Source organism: Homo sapiens, chromosome 12 (genome assembly GCF_000001405.40).
Source record: "Homo sapiens chromosome 12, GRCh38.p14 Primary Assembly".
NCBI lineage: Eukaryota > Metazoa > Chordata > Mammalia > Primates > Hominidae > Homo > Homo sapiens.
The window spans coordinates 106,868,781-106,889,916 of record NC_000012.12 but is presented as its reverse complement, the minus strand read 5'-3'; the positions used below and the strand labels follow the sequence as shown (position 1 = coordinate 106,889,916).

At 38.8% G+C, this 21,136-nt stretch overlaps 1 protein-coding gene and 1 long non-coding RNA gene across 26 annotated transcripts in view, besides 1 other annotated feature; one reads left to right on the top strand and one right to left on the bottom strand.

Annotated features, from left to right (window-relative positions):
- Positions 1-600: 600 nt before the first annotated feature.
- The window catches only part of RIC8B (RIC8 guanine nucleotide exchange factor B), a 114,635-nt gene continuing 94,099 nt past the window's right edge, over positions 601-21,136 (bottom strand). For 6 of the 25 annotated variants that reach the window (NR_147135.2, NR_147139.2, NM_001351362.2 and 3 more), the window contains one exon: positions 601-4,013. Coding sequence is in view for 10 of the 25 variants with exons in the window: in NM_001351362.2 (NP_001338291.1) it covers positions 3,902-4,013 (112 nt within the window). In the remaining 15 variants the exon portion in view is untranslated. Of the gene's footprint in view, positions 4,014-4,472; positions 9,145-9,969; positions 10,143-10,791; positions 10,931-15,349; positions 15,437-16,742; positions 16,886-18,974; positions 19,095-21,136 lie in introns of those variants that run through there. The other 19 variants (NR_147136.2, NM_001351361.2, NM_001330145.2 and 16 more) reach the window with 12 other exon arrangements.
- LOC105369961 (uncharacterized) lies at positions 8,578-20,909 on the top strand. Its single transcript, XR_001749306.2, has 3 exons — positions 8,578-8,661; positions 10,387-10,422; positions 20,661-20,909. It is a non-coding gene; the product is annotated as an uncharacterized LOC105369961 (long non-coding RNA).
- Positions 12,947-13,496: an enhancer, noted in NCBI's record as "NANOG hESC enhancer chr12:107270199-107270748 (GRCh37/hg19 assembly coordinates)". NCBI's record gives its function as "activates a minimal SCP1, AML or CMV promoter by ChIP-STARR-seq in naive H9 embryonic stem cells {active_cell/tissue: H9 hESC(naive)}" and the evidence as "EXISTENCE:reporter gene assay evidence [ECO:0000049][PMID:30033119]".

The following is a 21,136-nucleotide window of genomic DNA, read 5'->3' as shown; positions in this document are numbered from 1 at the left end:
ATAGTTGCTACAAATATCTCCCTTCCTCACCCATAATTTGTTCCTTGAACAGTTTGTTCTCCATATCGTGCTTATCACACACCTATTCTGACACGTGTTACCTTGCTTTTCAAAACTGAGAGTCACACATCACTCCCCAACCCTGTGTGTTCTCCACTTCTGGAACTGCAGTGAATATCTCCAAGAAAATTAATGCGAATAACTGGACTAAACACTAAACATGGTTGACGTCTTTTTTTTTTTTAATGCACTTTTCTAAGTCACCTGGCTCCCTCGCTCCCTTCAAATAACTCTTCTTGACAAAAACTATAGTTATCGGGGCACTTACTCTAGCTGTTCTGACTTGTGCTGCCGAGGCTTCTGTGAGACTGTTGCTGTGTGGCAGAGCAAGCCTGCTCCTCCTGGTGCCACCCCTAGTTCCTGCTGCTCTTCAGCACTAACAACTCATGCTGCCTTCTAGAAAGGCAGCAGGCACCACCTTTTTAAATTTTTTTTTTTTTTTATGGGCGTGGTGGTCATGATGTCTTCTGTTAGAAAGAATATTGGGAAGGAAACTAGCAGTGTCTGCCACAATTCACATAATGGAATATCATATAGCCATTACTTTTTGAAGAATATTTATTGACATGGGAAAATGCTCACAATATGTTAAAGAAAGCAGGATACAAATCTGTAAATACAGCATGATCCCAATCTTGTAGTAAAATAAATTATATATGCATAGAAAAAATACAGGAAGGAAATACACTAAAACATTAACAGTGATGATCTCAGGATGGTGGGATTTGGGGTAAATTATTAATTTTATTTTCTGCATTTTCCAAACTTTCCACAATGAACATATATTACTTTTATAATCAGAGGGGAAGAGGTCAATACAGGTGACACCTAGTCCTGGGAGGTGGCGAGACTGATGTGGCACTAAGGGGGTGTTTAGAGTCACTTGTACTGCCTCATTCTGTGTCCTCATTTATAAAGAAGGGATAATAACACCTGCCCTGCCTGCCTCCCAGGACTACTGGGCATCTGAAAGGGTCACAATATCTGGTGATTGTTCCTCTGTAGCAGCAGCTCAAATGCTTTATTTTAGGACACACGCCTCCGTACCCTGCTTCCAAGGTCAGGAGAGTTGTGGGCAGAGAGGCCAGCCTGCAGCCTTGGTCCCTGGCCTATCCTAACGGATTCCAGGTCTTCATTGGAAATCCAGTGCTGACCATGCAAGTTTCCCACTCATACTTCCACTTCAGGTCACTTCCCTGCTTAAAAACCTCTTTAAACTAGTTCTGTTGAAATAGTTATTGCTTAAAATGGCCTGAGAATGACCACCCTCCTCACACCACTCTGTTCCCAGCATTTCAGAGCCCTAAGGAGGCACAGTGTGGGCCCAGGTGTGCTGTGGGGAAAAGGAAGGAGTGGTGCTGGGAGTCAGGCCACCAGAGTTGGACTCTTCCTTGCTGTGACGTGGGGTAACTTTCATAAGCTTTCTGGAGAGGATCTTTCATATGCGATAAGGTGAGGTTACATGAGATAACATACATCAAAAGCCCAGCATGTAGTAAGCACTTAACAGATATTAGTTCTCTTTCTGTGTGCCAGATGAAGACACTCTCATCTTCTTCCCCGCAAACTCTCTTTTCAAAAACAAAGCTTAGTGCCCAGTGCAGAGAAATGCAAAATGAAACAGAACTCACTGAAAGCAGAAGAGCACAGCTACTGAAACAGGACTGTTCAAACACTTACTCTGCATAAAGAAAGCTGGTAAGATGGCATTTCATTAAACACATCTTCATTTAGGTAAGCTGACATGCATGCCAAAGCTATTTGATTATAGAAATTATAAAAATACTTTAAAAATGCATTTGTAGAATAACAAAAATACTTAAATTTTTTCTAAACTTTTCACTTAATCTAAAATTATGAATTGCCCATTTCTTTTGCTGTTGGTTAAAACCTGGGTCACTCACCTCTCCCTCAAACATTTTGGATGAAATTCTAACATCTATTGTCTTCTTCCTACCCTTTTATAAAGCGTTCTGGATTTAATTTCTTCTTTTAAAAAAACTCAGGGTCACCATTATAGGAAGTAGTCTACGGGCCATACTGTTGTACACACATTTTCTGGGTCAACTAGAGTATCCTTTGGTAAGTAGACAGTCCCAGATTTGCTATGTCTTGAAGTTTTATTCTTCTCATCTCACTATCTAGTTTTCAGTTGGCCTTTTTCTTCTTTCAGTATGCCTGCCTTCAATCTAGCAGCCTCTTTCTTTGCCATTCTTTTGTGAGCTTCAAAGCCAGCTAATAAAACATGTTGGAAGCGTATGCAAATTTCAGTTCAGAGTCTAAGAGTGATATTCTTGAAGATCTCTCCCATAAGTAAGTTGCAAGAAACTTTGTGACATCTCCTCTGGCAGCTGAAAGGCCTTTAAGACGTAATTCCTGATTTTTTTGCTTTGCCAGAGAGGTAACTTCTGGATAAATGACCTTTTCAGTAACCCTCCATGTACTCTACCTGTCCTTAAAAAGGCTATTAGAAGTGGGACCATGGATGTAAAAGCACTTTAAAAAAGCATAAACTGTGAAATAGTATTGTTTAGCCCATGTATCTATAAAGAAACACACACAGATGGCCAAATTGAATCAACCCCAATGTTTTATTTAATTTAAAGTTTTAAAAGGCAGTGGTTAAGCACATTATGTATATATGTATATATATGAATGTATGTACGTGTGTATATACATACATATATATACAGGAAACCAACCCCTTTTCAACTTTAGCCACTGATGAGCTAGGCCCACTGTCTAGTGCATGACTCACTTTCTACTTCTTCATAGGACCAATTCTAAAAGTAAAAATAAACACCCTTTATCAGTTTAACAGTAACTAATTGTGTTTCTTTTTTTTAAATAAATAAAGTTACTATTAAACTGATCACATATGGTAGAAACGTAGAACTCACACACACACCAGCACACACAGTCCCCAATTTAAAATGTGATGTATGAATGACCTATATGTACAAATGGGTGCTGCTGACTCCCCCACCCCAAGCAGAGGCCATGAAAGAACTCCCATTACTCAGGGAGTCCCCATTCTCTATGCTGGGATGGAGGATGTGTGTGTTCCTGGCACCCCGGGTTAGACCTCAGAATGCACACTCCCCATGCGCTGATACAGATGGTGGTTCAGTTCTATGGTACTAGTGTTCAGGTACATTAGGGAATAAATAGGCATTTGTAGCTGCCTGAGAACTAAACCATCATTTATAACTCTTTATAGGGAGAAATGTATTCTGAAGTTTTAGCTAACTGACATACAAACTTTTAGAGTATAATCAGTTTGTAAGTCTGAGGCTGTGTGTGTGTTTCTATATATTTATACAAAATTGATATGAAGAATGGGGCTAGGTTTATGGAGCAGCTGCTAGGCTTCCATTTGGTGAGTTCTGATCTAAGAAGTCGCTTGCCCAAGGCTTTATTTACCAGCTCTTTCTGCTTCTCACGTGCCTCTGGCTGCTGGAGAGATTCAGAAGGGGCCACTCACACAAGTGAGGGGAAGGACATGGCTAAATCTTCTGCTAGGGATCTTGGCAAAAAGAATTGCCAGATTCAACCAGGGCCGCTTTATAGAATAAAATCCTTCAGTTCCATCCCGATGAAATGGAATTTTTTTTCTGCTTTTAGCCCCCGTAACCCCGTCTAACTGCAGCTCTGTATGAATGCCTCAATATCACAAAAAACACAGGGTCACCTCTTAAATATGCTGGATTCTCAATGAGTAAACCAGTTAATGTGTTTCTAGCCAAAGCAAGGGCATAAATGTTTTAGAGAAAAGATTCCCCTGGAGCTACAGAGAAAAGATGCTGATAAAGCAATATTGAGAGTTGAGCAGGTGATGCTTTTAGTCTGTGTCAGAGCTGGTCTCTTCGATGACAGAGTACTGGTTGAGTGCTTCCTCCAAAGGCGTTATTGTCCCATCAGGTTTTAGTCCCATTGGTTTAAGCAACTCCTCTCTAGAAAAAGAGATAAAAGAGAGAGAAAAAAAAGTATTCACCAGCATCACACACACACCCCTCCCCCCCACCCAAATCCACAACCTTTTAAAAAGAAAAGTCTTTAAAAACCAAAGTATTTTCCCTTGAGCTTTCTCTGTGTGTTTGTAATAGGAAAGATGAAAGGGGCATGGAAAGAAAAAGAGGGAAGAGGGAGATAAAAGACTTCATTCACACAGGCCAAACCTACTAAGCCAATTAAAAGTATGAAAAGTCAAGGTCTAAATGGGCTCAGGACAAGGAGCAGGTCTCTTCTGTTTTGAATAATTAACCTTTTTTTTTTTTTTTGGTGGATTGGTTTTGTTTTAGACAAGTTGAAGCTGCCAAAATTTCACCTGCCCCAGTGGTTGGAGCATACAATTAAATGGCTGATTTGATATGCATACACTTCATTCAATGGAATAAATCTGTCGGTTTTGATTTTGCCTCAGTCTCTAGTGATATGTAAGTACATGTTGATTCATTTCAAATTAGTTGGCCTTCCCCAACTCTCTCCCCGACTTTTCTTTCCTTCTCTCTCTCTCTTTCACTCTTTCTTTCCTCCTCCTCCTCCTTTCTAAAAAACACCATTGCTTTTGTTTGTGGCAGTTTAATTATGGGATTGACAGCCATTTTAATCTCTTCAAAGCTCCGCAACTGCCGCTTTTCAGCTAATCCAATTATATCTACTCCACAAGTTACAGCCTCATCTAAAGATGATTAATTATTGATTAAGCCAGTCAAAAAGCATTAGGAAAGATTTATTTAATCTTTTCATAGGCTCTTATTTATTACATGGAGATTATGGTGAATGTACCTGTTGAGTTGCTAACTCCAGTCCTCCCATCCCTAGAAAGGTCAGCAGTGTACTTAAGAGTGGCCTTGAAGAGCCCCATGAACTGCTTAAAACTTATTTATCACAGAAATGGGCATCACCCCCCAAAAACATGTCCATAAGCAAAAACCCACATGGCAGCAGCTATAATGTTGGTGGGATTTGGATGGAGGGGAAATGACTCCCTCCTCACAGTTGTCCCTTAGGCCAACAGAAAGAAGGGCTCCCTCCTGGGAAGGGGCAGCCACACAGTAGTGTAATGGTGTTACAGACACAGTGAAATCTCCTGGGGAGGAGTGAGAACAGCTCAGTGGTCAATGGATAAGCCAACAGGAGCCTAATGAAGAGCTCTGGCTAGCTCAGTAGACAACTTCGAAGTGTTTGAAAGCTTTGCTTGGGAAATGTGAACGTCTGACAGGCTAAATTGAGGCTCCTGAATACTATGAGGGAGGAAATGTGTTTCCCAATCCAAGAAATGGGGTCAGAATCATAGAACTTAAAGTTGGAAGGGGTCTGAGAGATCATTTAGTCCAACCCCCTTCTTTAATAAAGGAGACTGAATGACTCATCCAAGGTCACTTATCTAGTGGCAGAGCTGGACCTGGGACATGGGTCTCCTGAATCCTAGTCCAGTGATCTTTGCAGCCCACCACATCTGGATTAATTGCCCTAACTGCATTGGAGGAGCACACTGAGTTCATGTCTTCAACATCTGTTCAATGACTATGTGACAGGAACTATGTCATATACTGGGAGGTAAGGAAGACTGGGTACAGCTGCTGCCTTTGAGGAGCACGGAAAACAAATATATGCAAAAGTCATTTTGAGCAGAATGAGGTAAATGCTGTAAGAGAATTATGAACAAAGAAGTGAGGCAGCTCCTGAGATGAAGCACTGACCAGGCTGCCTGGGGAGGGCACTGTCAAGTGAGGTGTCAGTGAGTGGCCCTGCACTAGGCAGATGGGCACAGAGCATTTCAGATAAAAGAGACTGTAAAGAGCTCTGAATGGTCCCACTGACGTGTGTGATTCTCTATCTTTTTAAACCTTTTTGGATTGTGTCAGCTCATCTTTTCTATCTCTGTGCTCTCATGAAGCCGGGAAAGGGCCCAGTGTTTGGGGAATGGTGAGGTTCAATGAAGGAGGGGCAGGAGGTAAGGCTGCAAGGGTAGTTTGGGATGCAATAGTCAAAAATGTCTTAAATGCCAAAATAAGGAGTTTAGATTTTACCCTATAAAGAGTGTTTGATTACGTTTGTTTTATAAGAAAGTACCTCTGGCAGCAGCATGATAGACACATTGGAATTGGTGGCAGATAGACAAGTCATTAGGGGGGTCATCATAATAGTGTGTGGGGGAGGAGACAGACAGCTGGATTAAGTCTGAGGTTGTGGGAAGAAAAGGCAACATTTCTGAGGTAGATCTCATGACTCACTGGGAGGAAAAGGGGTTGGAGAATGAGAGTAGTAAGTAGAGAGTTCCTGTTGTTTCAGCTCAGATGACCAAGTGGATGGTGACTCTATTCAATGGGGCCAGGACATAGGAGATGGAGATTTGGTGGGGAGATTCTGATATATTTTAGGACTTGAAGGGCTTGAGGTGCCTACATGACAACCATGTAGAAATGTTCAGTGGAGAGCTAGAAACAACGTTTCCATTAAAACTTCTCTCTAGCACTGACGTAAATTACATACCTATATTTTAAATAAATTCCTAGTTCTGATTGTGCTAAAGGACTTTGTGATGTTGGACACTACATATTAACAACTGAAGCAAAAGGAGAAGAGGGAGAACCTGCTGGGAATGAAACACTGAGGGTCTGAAGGGGTTGGTAAACTCAGGTGTGGGGTGGGGACTGAAGGGTAGGGATAGGTAAAAGTAGGATTGGCAGATGGGACTGAGTGATAAACTGCTGGGTGGATATACCATCACTCCTGAGACTAAAACTACTGCATCTCTTTGATAAAAAGATGATTCTGGGGCTAGCTACTAACTTGTGTGAAGTATCTAGCACTTTCTCATCTAAACCCAGAAGTAATATTTTCAAATAAGTCTATCAGCTTTACCCTTGCTCCCTAATCCAATTATGCAAATAATTAAAAATATTAGTTTTATGGCCAAATTATAGGATTTCATTATGGAACAACGGGCCTATATTTTAATTCTTACTTGTGAACTATTCTCAAGCATTTACTTTCTGGGTGCTTTGTATCAACCCCCACTAAAATGGAAGCTCCTCTGAAGGTATGAATTATTTTCTTCTCCACATGGCTCTACGTAATGCCTGGGCTCATTGATACTTCTGTAGGAAAGGTGTCAGTGAACACTGGCCATACAATCATGCATTGTGCAAATGAATTAAGGCAGCAATGTGATGTCATGGAAAGAAAAAAAAGATCTGGAGTCAGGAAGTCTGTCTGAAGTCCTGGTTCTCCTCCACTTACCAGCTGTGTGATCTTGGGCAAGCTTCCGAGTCTCAGTTTCCCTACCAGTGAAATGGGGGTCGTGATAATCTTGGCTGTACCTACTGACTAGTGAAGATGTAAGTAGTGGTAGTAATAATAATAATAATAATAAGGTAGACCAAAGAGTTGTGAATTGTACAGAACAAATATTCGTTGTTATTGTGGTATAGTGAAAAGCACATATAGGTTTTGGAGTCAGACGGACCTGTGCTCTAATTCTGGATCGACCAGTCACTAGCTGTAAGAACATGAACTCACTGAATTCCAATTTCCTTCTCTGTAGAATTAGGACAGGAACACATACCTCACACTAAGTTGTGATGAGGGCAAAAGGCTACTATACATACAAAGTGTATAGTATAACATTAGGCTGGAATGTAGTTAGAACCCACAAATTGTCGTTCCTGTCCCTTAAGTGCTTACAGAAGGTTTTCCCATGCTAGTTAGGGATTAAGTGGGGGAAGAATATGCAGAGGCAAATAAAAGACATGGTCCCTGTCCTCAAGAAGCTTTTAGTCAGTTCAGAAAACACACACACATTAAACAATATTGAAAGAGTTACAGAACAGCAGATCAACAAGCTTGAGATGATTAACAGGCAGAGAGCCCTGCTTTCTTTAAGCTTTAAAATTTGTCAATACACCCTTACTGTATTTGAAGTTGGTTTAAAGGAGATTTCTTGTCCTGTCTGGGAGTAGAAGGAGAGGATCATTTACAGATGTGTGACTGTTTGTTCTAATTGACCCCAGGCTTATTTCTCATACCCCCATCCTAACTTTTCTCATCTTCTTCCTCTATCCTTCAACTAGTGGCCCACAAATATCAAAATGAAATATTTGGTACAGAGACTCACTCCTAAAAGGCTTGGTAAATGACCTGGTTATATTGGACTGTCTCATTTATAATCTGGGACTATTTCATTTGCAATCTGTTGTATCTAGATCAGCAAGATGTGGACAGAGAATGGGAAGCTTTAATGAACACCACAGAAATATTCCTTCACCAGTCGTATGGCTATGCACATGTGAGAGGGACACAGGAGGAGACAGGGATGCTGACCACAGGCTCCTTGCAGTAGGTGGACTCAGGGGCCAGACTGTAATGGCAGTGATGGACATGGATTCACAGGGAGAAAGGCATCCCAGAAGCAGAAGAATTAGTCAAGCAGAGGCACAGAAGCAAGAGTTAGTTGTGTGCAGGGACTGGCAAGCAGGCTGGCTCGGCTGAGATAAAGGAAAAAAAAAAAAACAACTCAAAAGAGATGCGGTATAAAAGAGGATTTGAATGGAGACCTTGAATCCTAGGCTGACAAGTCTGGACTTGAGTACAAAGGTATTCTTGTTTTCTATTTCAGGAGCATACCCCCCACCCCCAACTTCTAAGGATATTAAAAATAACTGTCATTACAAAGTTTGAGAGCTATGAAATACTACTGCTCTGATATTTTAAAAAGAGAATGTCTATGCTTTACTCAATTTTCATATCCCTATGTGTCTAGCACAGTGCCTTGCAGATAGCAGATCCTCAATAAGTGTTTGTGAATTAAATTTAGTTGTACTTGATATTATCTTTCATTTTCCTGAAGAGAAAAGGTATGGTGTCTAATGGGACTCCTAATGACTAAACCATGAAGAGAAAAGCTAAATCTCTGGGTACACATTCACTTTCATCACGAAGATTTACAGGGTTAGAAACAGGATTAACATTCCACAGGAAATTCTGTATAATGCTTTCCAGAGATTTCTTGTTCTGTACTAGACTGTGAGCAACTTGAGGGCAGAGTCCATGTCTTCTCAGGCTGTGATTTGCCAGTATCTAGTATAGAACACAGCACACAGCAGGTGCTCAGTAAACGTGGCATAAATGGGAGACCATTTGTCAGGAATCATTCTCATGTTATTTTAACTGTAATTATTTTCCTGATGAATTAATATCATCAGACATTCTGACAGTTCAGCAGAAGTCAAGCCCCCTTTTCACCAGACAGCCTGGAATTCCCAACCATTAACTAACTGGTATAGACTGAGCTTCTTCCATATGGGGCATCAGAAGACCTAGATTCTAGTCTCAGATGTTCCACTAACTTGCTAGGTGTCCTTGGGCAGGTCACTTGCCTCTCTGGGCTTGAGTCTCCCCATCTATAAAGTGAGTGGTTGGACAAGATGATCCCCAATATTCTATACTAATTTCAAGAGGCTAAGTGTTGGGCTATGAAATAATTTTGATCTATTTAAAAAGCTGCTAGGTTTTTAAAGATACTCAAACTCATTATTACTAAGCCTTTGTTTCTAATGCAGATATTCTAAACCTAAGAGTCAAACACAGCATCCTACCAAATTGTCACAGACATACACCAAGACCACAAGCCCTTTCTGCAAGACTACCAGCATATGATTAAAATGATTACAAAGGAAAACCAAAGCAATGGCAAGTGCTACAAAAAAGGATCCAAATTCAATCATGGCCCTCAATAAACAGGCCATTTCATAAAGAGTTACTGATCCTAAATTATGAAGGTCCTATCTAAAAAGGATGGCTATGTGTCAGATACATGTATATCATGGTAAAACGGAGATACTGTATATTGAAATGTGTATCAGGATTAAGATATTCACATAGCAACAACTCCTTCATACTTACCTTCAATGCTACACACAGGCCTTAACACAAGTTAAGACTGCCCTCGTATCAAAAAGTACAGTGGTGTCTACTGGATAAAGAGCCCATTCTAGGCACTGTGACAGTATCATGGCGGGCTTCTCATCTGATCAGGCATCTGGCCAGGGAAGAGATAAGCCTCCAAGAATGTTCAACTGGAACGAAACATCATTTAGAAATTTGATCTTACTAAACGATAAGGAACCATAATCTACAAGGGCTTGGCCAGGCAAGAGGACACAGATAAAGCACGTCCAAGAAAGGAAACCCTATTTTGCCCCAGCCTAACCCTTGGGACTGCTAATGGAAACCAAAAAAATAATTTCTTAAAGAGCTAGGGATGGGAGATACGGAATTTACACCATATTTAAAATATTCTGGTCTGTTTTTTTTTTCCAGATATATTTTAACATTTTCCTGAGCCACCGTTTGCCTGTAAGTATGGTATACTCTAGGATGCCTGGGCTTATATGACTTCTCAGCACCTTAGAGAAGGTTCTGCTTTTTAGGGCTTCTGGTTCCTATATGACTCTTTCCCCCAAAAATGACAGTGCAAAATTGGGGTTCAGATACTAACATACCCAATCGCACAATATAGAATAGGTCAGACGTGTATGTGTATAAAACACTTTACTTGACCTGAAAGCAAGAGAATACTCTTGCCCACAGCACATGTTTTTGTGCAATACAAACAAAACATTCAATTCAAGTGTACTTGTTGAAAAACAGGACATAATTAAGCAGTTGGTAAAATGCATTCTTGTTTCCCACTTGCAGATCTCCCAAGAGTCCCTTCGAATTTACCTATACGAGTTTCAGCTTCCCGCTTGCCACTTAGCTTGATAACGACTCAAAAATCATTCCCTTGTTTTCAAGGGCTCTTCTTTCTTGTCTGCTCTGTGTACTACAGGGCAGTATTGACACATGGAATTAATGACAGGGTCTGTAATGAAACAACAGTCATGCAAACACCAGTCTGCTCTTTTGATAAAACAGCATGTTAGAGACCTATTCACCTCCCTCTAATTGAGTACTGCATAATAGTTCCGATCCTTTTATGTAACATATTTTGTTCTATGATTAGAAAAGAAGAAAAGGGGGGGGGAACATGAGGCATTGCTTCCTTCAATCACCCCCTGATTAATTCTCTGTTTTTAATGAGGGCGGCTGCTATTTAGGCAGGTTCTGTTACATACTTGTTTTGTTGACTTCTGTACAATGTATAACAAAACCCAAGACAGGATAATTGGGAACCATTTCTTAAGCACAGGATTCCTGCTCTTAATGTAAGGTTGACTTGGAAAAAAGAATCCTGACAGTTTAAATTAGCCATTTCATATTTAATTCCTTTTCACATTTGAAAGATGGGATGAGAAATTAGTATATAAATAAAGCATTTTAATTAACATAGAGCTTTTCAAAAAATGCCTGTTAAAATGGATGGAGCCTGTGATAGCCCTGAGAAGGAAGCTCTGTAGTTCTTTTAAAGTCTGGGCGTGCATCTTATATCAAGATTTCAGTATCATGGATAGTTCATAATCCACTGAAGTATAACGGGTTTCCCAATAACTTGTGATATTCTTATAAATGTTTTCACCTCTTTTTTTCTCACAGCAATAATATTATAACCTTTGGACTGGTAAACATGTTCAGTTAGATACTGTGAAAGTGTCCTTTAGGCTTGAACCCTGATCCTTCATCTTTCATCTAATGACTTCCTAGAGCTGACTGGTTACACCGATCTTTCATTAAGCCACTAACTTGGTAGGAATGAGTGGTATGGTAGCTTTTCCATAGCAAATTTGAGGTCTAGGCTACATCTTTGAAAGGATTCTGAGATCCTTCCCTCAGCCCTCATCATTGTGCTTTGGGATTGGGTACAATTGGGAAAGTAAAATATGCAACATAAAAATATTGTTACCCAAGACAAATTGATATGGTGTACAGTCCCCACATCACCATGTCTTTCCACTTTATAAAGGTAATTGGGAATTGTCTAAACCAGGGATGTCCAATTGTTTGGCTTTCCTGGGCCACACTGGAAGAAGAATTGTCTTGCGTCACATAAAATACACTTAACACTAATGATGGCTGGTGAGCTTAAAAAAAATTGCAAAAACATCTCATAATGTTTCAAGAAAGTTTATTAACTTGTGTTGGGCCGCATTCAAAAGCGTCCTGGGCTGCGGGTTGAGCAACTTTGGTAAATAGTCCCATAGGGAAGCCTTTTTTAAGTTAGGTTTTATTAATGTGATCACATGTATGAAAATTTGTCAGAAGAGCCATAATCATTCTCTTTTTAAAACAATTTAAAAACCTTGTATTAACATAGAATCATAGAAATTTTACTTGTTCCCTTCAAAAAGCTTTGCTTTGTTTTGTGTTTTAAAATATAAGCTATTTATTTAGTATTTGACCTGATACCTACGAAGAGCTCAACTGTGGAATGAAAAAGCAGTAATGCATGTCCTCTAAATCTTAGTTCTCTTCTAAAGTAAATATGCTTATTATCTGTCTTTCGTGCTTTTCATTTATTTAAAATTTAGAATGTCTTATTTAAAAATAATCAGACAACTTTTGAGAGCTGTTGGTAATTTCTCACAATAGCACACAATCTGGAGTCTCAAGACTGAAAACTGGACTTGGGTTAGTTACTTAATCTTTGGTGCATTTAATCCTTAAAAAAATACCTGACGCTATTTAATTCACAGGGCTGTTTTAATAATCAATGGAGATAACGTATATGGAAGCATTTTTTATACCTTAAAGCACTATATAAATATTAGTTTTTTTTAAATCACTGTTCACATTTCTGTTAGATCACATGCAAAGCTTCTAAAAATCTGCTACCCACCTAATTTACCCACAGTAAACAGCATGGTTAAGAAAATATAGAGAAAAAGAGATCAGGTATAGTACTAGAAGAATAAAGTGCAGTTTTATCTTTAAGTGGTTTTAAAAATTATTTCTTGGTAATTTATTTACAGAATTTTTCTTATCTGTTGTCCAAATTAACAAAATAAATATTAATAGGTCAGCATGCCAACTGACACTGTAGAATAAAGTAGTAGAAACAGAAGTTCTTAACGCTCTTCCCAATAAGGAAGGATTAAAAGTTAAAGAATGAGGAGAACTAAGAGAACAAACAGCCAGTGGAGATGATTCTTATTTGATGTTCCTCTACTAGTCAAAAACCATTTCAGAGAGTACTTTAACCAAGAGCTCAAAGTAGTTAGTCCCACTACAGATCTAAAGAACAATGACTACAGATAGGCAATACAAAGGTAGCATGACGTCCTACTTAAAGGTGTCTAGCTACTGGAAAGGTCCTATATAACCTAAGGATAGATAATATCAAGCTTCTCAAGTTAATCCTCCCCTGACACCTTAAGGTGTTTAATTTAGCTGGATCCAAGTCCTCTTAATTCAATTTCCAAGCAACCTTACAGTATATTTTAATGAGGTAGAACAGCACTGTCTAATAAAAATATAATGTAAGCCACAATGTAAGCCAAGTGTATGTACTCTTAAATGTTCTAGTAGCCACATTGAAAAAGAATAGGTAAAATTAATTTTAATATTTTAACCCAGTGTATCAAAAATATTATCATTTCCATATGTAACCTATATTAAACAAATAATGAGATATTTTACTTTTTTTGTGCCAAGTCTCTGAAATCTAGTGAGTATTTTACACTGATAGGACATCCCAATTTGGACTAACCACATTTCAAGTGCTCAACAGTCATATATAGCTGTGGTTACCATACTCTGGACAGGGTAGTCTAAAGAATATTCTGATGAAAACAAGATCTTTATATTTTCATATCTATAATAGATCTTACAATGCTCTAAAAATTAGATCATGTTTATGAAATGTACCTGAAAAGCATTTCCTTAACTAACTTATCACAAAGGTAGGTATAATCACAGTCGTTGATATTTTTGTAAGGAGAGTAAAATAACTTATTTTTAAGAAAAAACTATGTATTTGTTATTTTTCAGTTATAAACTACCTATCTCAGCCTTAGTCAGTTTAAAATTAATCTTTTGATTAAAGGGAACTAATCCTATATCTGGTGCCTGCATTTATTATAAAAGTCATGTTCCAAATAGTACACAATGACTGGCAACAACAAAAAAAACAAAACACTTATTGGCTAAGGAGTAAGAAAAGGAAGAAATGGTAGAACAATTATCTTTAATTTATATAAATATAAATTTTAAAACATAGATTTTGATGGCAGAATATATAAGTAAAAAGGCAATGTATCTTGTTAGACAGTGATGGGGTAAGGGTGAGTAGAGGATTAATTAGCTCTGGTTCCAATGTAGAAACTAAAGGGGATTAGAGAAGTCAAAACAAAACTGTAACTTGAAATATTATTTCCCTTGGTTAGTTTAAGCTTAAGCCAGTCAATGCTCTCTCCCCTTTTCTAGAGGAGGCACCACTATTATATACAAGTTGTGTGCAATAGCTAAGGCAAATGAAATTGTATTAGGCACAGTGGGCTTGCTTTTACTACACAATTCCCATTCAGATCTCCTGCTTGAGTTGCAGGGGCTTATTTTTTCCGAAGTCAGGGAAGGAAAGAGGAGGTGAAGAGGCAGGCAAATTTCATCCGCTTTTCCATCTCTGCCCTCACATTAAAAAATGTCAAATGAGGCTTTCTATAATTTCATGCCTCAGGCCTTAAATGTTTATATTTGATAAATATTACAGTTATCATTCTATATTAAAGGAATTATGGACCCCAATATTTAAATAAGCCAGTCATGGCTCAAAGTACTTTATGGAATTCCTTTCTGGCCCTGAATTTTATGACATCTGGCCAAAAAATGGAACTGACAGAGTGTACTTTAAAGTCTTAAGCCATGTAGGTATTTTAAAGCAAAAAACTGCCCTTCAAATTTGGGGATCAGCTATTTTCATTATTTCATCATCACATACTGTGGAAACCACAGGGTACAAGGCACTGTACTAGCTAGACATGATGGGATTTATAGGGTTCAGATTCTTTTCCAACTCTTTAGACCTCCAGGTGCACTGCCAATCACCTTATCTACATCTATCACAAATATAATCCTTATACTAAAAAAAAAAAATCACTTGGAATACTCTTAAGTCAGCTGGTATTCAATGGGAAGAAAATATCTGAGCACTAATCTCTCCAATATCTTTGGAAATCTAGTTGAGAGAAAGCTGCTAAGGTGATGAGCTCCTTGAGGCAGCGGCTATGTCCAGCATGGAGGCAAAATAGAAATGTAATTTTAACTTTTACATTGGTGGTTTTACAATTTTGGTAGTGAATAACATCTATACCCTACACCAGGCTCAGTAACAGTACTTGGCATGACCAACCTTAGTCATCATCACTTTGGTAAGTGCTTTGGCACGGGCCACTGTTGCTAACCACCATCCTGGTGCAGGTCCTTCACATCTGCTCTCCTATGGATGGAAAAAAGGAAGTGTCTAGTGTCCATTCATTGGCCACATCACCTCCAACCCTATCCTTTACTCACATGCCTTTCAATTCAGGTGCAGGAGAAAACCATTTCATTTTTGAGAAGGAAAGTTAATCAGACAAAGCTATGGTACACTCTTAGCACAATAACGACTTGGTTGAATGCAGAACGTCCTAGAGTGAAAGGGAGGGAACTAACCAATAGTACAATGCTGACAGGGTGATGAGGAAGTGTTCTGGCAAACACTTACTATAACAGACAGACACCGTAGTACAGTGGACAGAGCAAACGTCTTGAGTTCTGGAAAATGAAGGTCTAGTCTCACTTTTTAAAATGAAACTAGAAAGAGGATGTATGTGAAAGTGTTTTATAAACTGTTAAAAGGAAATGAATTATCATCAGTCATTAGCTTGGAAATGCTTTGGGCAATTCTTTGGTACTTGCTTCCCCCAATGATAAATCTGATAACGTACTAATCAAATAATGATAAAACAACCTGAGCTCTTTAGAAGAAATAAGTAGTATGTGACTATCCAAGACTTATTAACAAGATTAAATTTCTCTCCACCTGGAATGAATGGTCATTTTTCCATTTTTCTATTAAATACATCAAAATTCTAGGATCAGCACAAATGCTAGCTTTCCTGTGAAACAGTCCCTGAATCATCCAGACAGAATGAACTACTCCTTTTCCTGCATGCTTACATTTCAACATAGAACTCATTTTGTCATTATTTCCTTCTACCTTGTATTCTAGACTAGATTACAGTCATTTCTTCCACTAGAATGTGAGTTTTCCAAAGGCAGAGACTGTCACATTCTCCTCTGAATCTTCCTCAGGTTCCTAGCACGATGCCTTGCACAGAGTAGCTGCTTAGTAAATGTTCCCTGAATTGTACTGAGTTTAGTCTATTTTGGCTTTATGGCATCTTTTTTTACCTCAAAAAAAAGTGGAAAGAGAGAAGAAACTTAAGACTAATGAGGAACACAGCACAAAAGACATGTAAGACGCATAAAGAATGACTTCATTCTTTGCATTACTGCTTTGGAATGCCCACTGCTGATCTTTATACAGTTTTGTCATTGATTGTATTTAGTGAGAGCAAATGTTAGAAAGCACACAAAGGCAGACAATGTAAAACGCCCAACACACGTCATGCAAAAATTCTGTATGATTTGAACTATTCTCAAGGTTGCCTTTTGCTTCAACTTTAATGGCAAAATTGATACCATCAAAGCCAACATAAGACATATTTGCTCTGCTTTAAACATGCAAAAATCAGTGTCACCTTCAGTTGGGCATCTGCTGGGTACTTCCGGATAAGTAGGCATCTTCTTTGAGGCATAGTTTAAATCAGGTGGAAGCTGGGGTATTTCAGACTTGACGTTTGTATATTTATTTGTTGGCAGCTTCTAGAATATGTGGATTCCCCTGAGATTAAAAGGAGAAGGACCTAGCACCTTTGTTTTCTGTGCCTGTGATAGAGATGCCTTATGAAATGGTAGTTCCTCTATTAGTAAGCCAAGTATCTGGATTATACTGTGTAGTCTTAGGCAGTTATTTCCCCTGTCTTCCATTTCCCTACCTGGAGTTTACTCATCCAGGGTAGATGGCCCAGTTAAATGGCATTTGTGTTAAACTTTAAAAACTCATGTTGTTGGTCAGAATATGAAATTTATGCAACTGGTTTACTGTCCTAACACACTAATGTGTTCTACTCAGGTCCTTGCTAACCTTTCCTCTCCAGTTTCTACCAGATGGACTCTGTCGGGTTTGTTTTTTTTTTTTTTTTTGAGACAGAGTTTTGCTCTTGTTTGACCAGGCTGGAGTGCAATGGTGCGACCTTGGTTCACCGCAACCTCCGCCTCCCAGGTTCAAGCGATTCTCCTGCCTCAGCCTCCTGAGTAGCTGGGATTACAGGCATGTGCCACCACACCCGGCTAAATTTGTATTTTCAGTAGAGACAGGGTTTCTCCATGTTGGTCAGGCTGGTCTCAAACTCCCGACCTCAGGTGATCCACCTGCCTCAGCCTCCCAATGTGCTGGGATTACAGGCATAAGCCACTGTGCCCGGCCTGACTCTGTTGGTTCTTATCCTGTTGTTTTTATACCCCTGTGTTTCATTAGCTACATCAGCTCCTCCTGGAAGTGGCCAAGCACACATCTTATCTTTATATATTCATTTTGATCTTATTCTGCCTCCTATAGGTTTGCCCTATCGGTATCTTCTCTGTGACTATTAATCCCTTCTGGGAGGGAACATTTCTGTTCTATACAAAGGTATGGAGAATGTAATTTGCAAAGAGGCAACAATGTCTTTTGAAGATTGTGAATATAGTCAGTTAGCTGTAAATTCTAACCTTGAGAAAGGATGAAAATTTAAAAGGGCTAGCTGGAAGTTACTGAGTTCTAGTCTTATTAGCTTTGTAGATAATTAAGCTATTTACTCCTAAACAACTTCTACCACACTACCAGCATCATACTCTGCAGCGTGGATAAATATCCATACTTGTCACACTCCCCATGTCAGTCTCTTGTTCTTGTCCATTTCTACCCCTAAGCCTCTGCTGTGCCCTTAATCTCTGCTCGTTTCTGTGTTCCACCTTTCCCTTTCATGGTTGGCTCTCTGGCTTTTCCATTCCAATGGCTCCTTCTTTTGACTGAGGGATACTAGCCTTTACACAGTTACTGTGAAAAAGGGGATGGCCAGAAGAAATGCATCTTTAAGTGGCAGCTGCCACCAACACACAGAAGCATTCATTCAAGATGGCTTAAAGAAGATAGTGACTCAATGTATGACTAGAAAATAGAGTGACTCAGCCAAGTATGAAAGGAATTATTTTCTAATAACTCCTCCAAGATGACTAGTTGCTGATTAGTATATACTTGATTTAATTATTTCAAAACTGGTTATTTTTGAAGGGGAAGGAGGTGAGAAGCAAGAGGGGAAGGGGAGTTTTTTGGTTTTTTTTTTTTTTTTTTTTTTTTTTTAGAACTCCTAATTAATACAAGTCCCTGTTTTCAGAAAATCCTTCATGTGAGCTATTTCTTTTCACTTTTTCTTATTGGGTGCATGACATTTTAGAATTCTTGGTTTCAGCAGCAACCCAAAAAGGCGTAATTGCAAACTTACACATCAAAAATGAAAAAATAAAAGCATCATGATTTGAAACAAAAACTAAAACAGGCTAAAACAAAAATACAAGCAGCAGCAAAATCACTGAATCTAACTCACAGCATCTTTTTGAAGACAGGGAGGTTAGTTGGTTAATTATTACAGTGCTCTGGTAGTTACTATCTTAGCTTTGAGAGTTTAAATGTTTAGGAATGCACATCCAGAAGCGGCACATGTAGAAAAACCATGGTAGCCAAGAGCTATCTGAACTACTGCTGCCTGGGCCACCCTATTCCAATCAACATGGATTTCCAGAGTTGCTGTTCTATGGTAACTCTCAGTGAGAGAGACAAAGAAATAGACCATTTTTAGAAACCAAGCAAAAAATGGATGGGAATACAATACCTGGAAAGTTTATCAAGCATGTTGACAAGTTTCATGGCTTCATATTCTTTTTGTTCTTCTGTCATTTCATCTATGGGGTTTGGCATTGGTTCCTCTAAATGACCAGTGATAAGATTAATGCTACAAAAAGAAAAAAAAGTTATGCTGTATGTTTTAAAATTATGCTCTTTCTATACTTTTCTGGTCCAACTTTTAAGTGATAATAAGAAAGAGTATAATAGCCAAAAAATTGGCAATAATTTCAATTTTATGGTATAGAACTGATATAGGAATTTTTAAAACTGGACTTTTCCACTAATTTGCTTTGGGAAATGGGCTATACTTTTTTTAAAAAACGAAAACTGTCTTGCCAACTTTTTTTTTTTTTAGAGGCATGGTTGCTTTTTAAAAATACAAAATTTGATTAGTGCCGTTAGGATATCCGTGGATGCACAGCTTATCCATTAATTCTAAGGGGACACATGATTTCAGGGAAGAAGAAATGAGGAAATCCATTTTGTGATACAGCATAAAACAAACATCAAAAAAAATTGGAAAAATGATGACAGAGAGGCTACAATCTGGAAATGAAAGCATGCCAATTTATAATCTCAGGAAATTAGTCCATTAGTGAGACCACAGAGGGCAATGAGTGTTTAAATAATAAAAGATAAAGCAGAAGAACAATTTTAATTAGGTTTGATCTGGCCTAGACAAAAAAAGGGATGAAATCTAGCCTACCAAGAGACAGGTATATCATCCTGGCTATCTGGAAATAGATTTAATACAGTACTTAAAATGAATACTTTGCATAAACTTTGTATGAGGTTATAATACCAAACAAACTATTCTCTTAGAGAAAAGCCATACTTTTTTTTTTTTTTTTGAGGACAGGAAATAAAAGATAACTCTTTCAATGGCTCCTAAATATCCACAACAAACATTTTTCTGGAGAAGCAGACAAGAGATCACAGTATCTTGTACCAGCCAAGTACATACTGTTTTTTTGTTTTTGTTTGTTTGTTTTGACGGAGTCTCGCTCTGTCACCCACGTTGGAGTGCAGTCGCACAATCTCGGCTCACTGCAACCTCTGCTTCCTGGGTTCAAGTGATTCTCCTGCCTCAACCTCCAGGGTGGCTGGGATTACAGGCACGTGTCACCACGCCTGGCTAATTTTTGTATTTTTAGTAGAGACGGGGTTTCACCATGTTGGCCTGGCTGGTCTCAAACTCCTGAGCTCAAGTGTTCCTCCTGCCTCAGCTCCTGAAGTGCTGGGATTAGAGCCATAAGCCATGGCGCCTAGCAGATAGTTTGTTTTTAATGATCAAATTAAATATCCCTGCAAATAGCAATTGCTAATAAATTGCTTTCTAGGGTCTATGAACATAAACGCTTTCAGAAGCCACGCCTTTAAGATAAGCAAGTGAGTGAGAGGGTCAAATATACACAATGTGGAGTGTTGGGAGATTGAGATCAACTGGAAAACGGTGCCCAGTTTAAATTAAAAAAAAAAAAAGATACTGGCCAAGACAAAGACACAGTGATTAATTAAATCTTCTGGTAGCCAGCTTGCAACCCGTCTTTGAGACTTTCGGTTGGGCAAGTTCTTTACTGACTAGGGCTTTTCTCATCTGGGGTAAAGGCTTGCTTACTACGTACTGTTATCTATTACTATTAGATTTACTTTTCTTTTCTACCTTCCTCAGAGGCTGCATGACATACCAATTCTTATGGAAGGACTCAGTGCTCACCATCCTCGAAAACCTGATTCAAAACCTATCTTGCCATTCTTGCGTAAGACCTACATCTAGAGTCATGTTTAAAACTTTTCCCCCATTAGAAACCCAATATATAAAATAGACAAAAGTGAACTGCTCAGGCAAGAAGGGGATGGGAATAGCCAAGTAGATAGGGGCGTAGAGTCCCTTTATTTGTCCCCTACCCACTTGTTTTCTCTTAAGGTACTTTCAAAGGTTCTGGGGCAACCTGAAAACCCATAGCCTTGTCATTTATTTCTAGCCTTGGCTGTACATTAGAATCACTTGAGAAACTTTGAAAAAAGCTTGGGTGACAGAGCGAGACTCCGTCTCAAAAAAAAAAAAAAAAAAAAAAAAGCTTGGGCCTCACCTTAGACCAACTAATAAATCTGTGTGTGTGTGTGTGTGTGTGTGTGTGTGTGTGT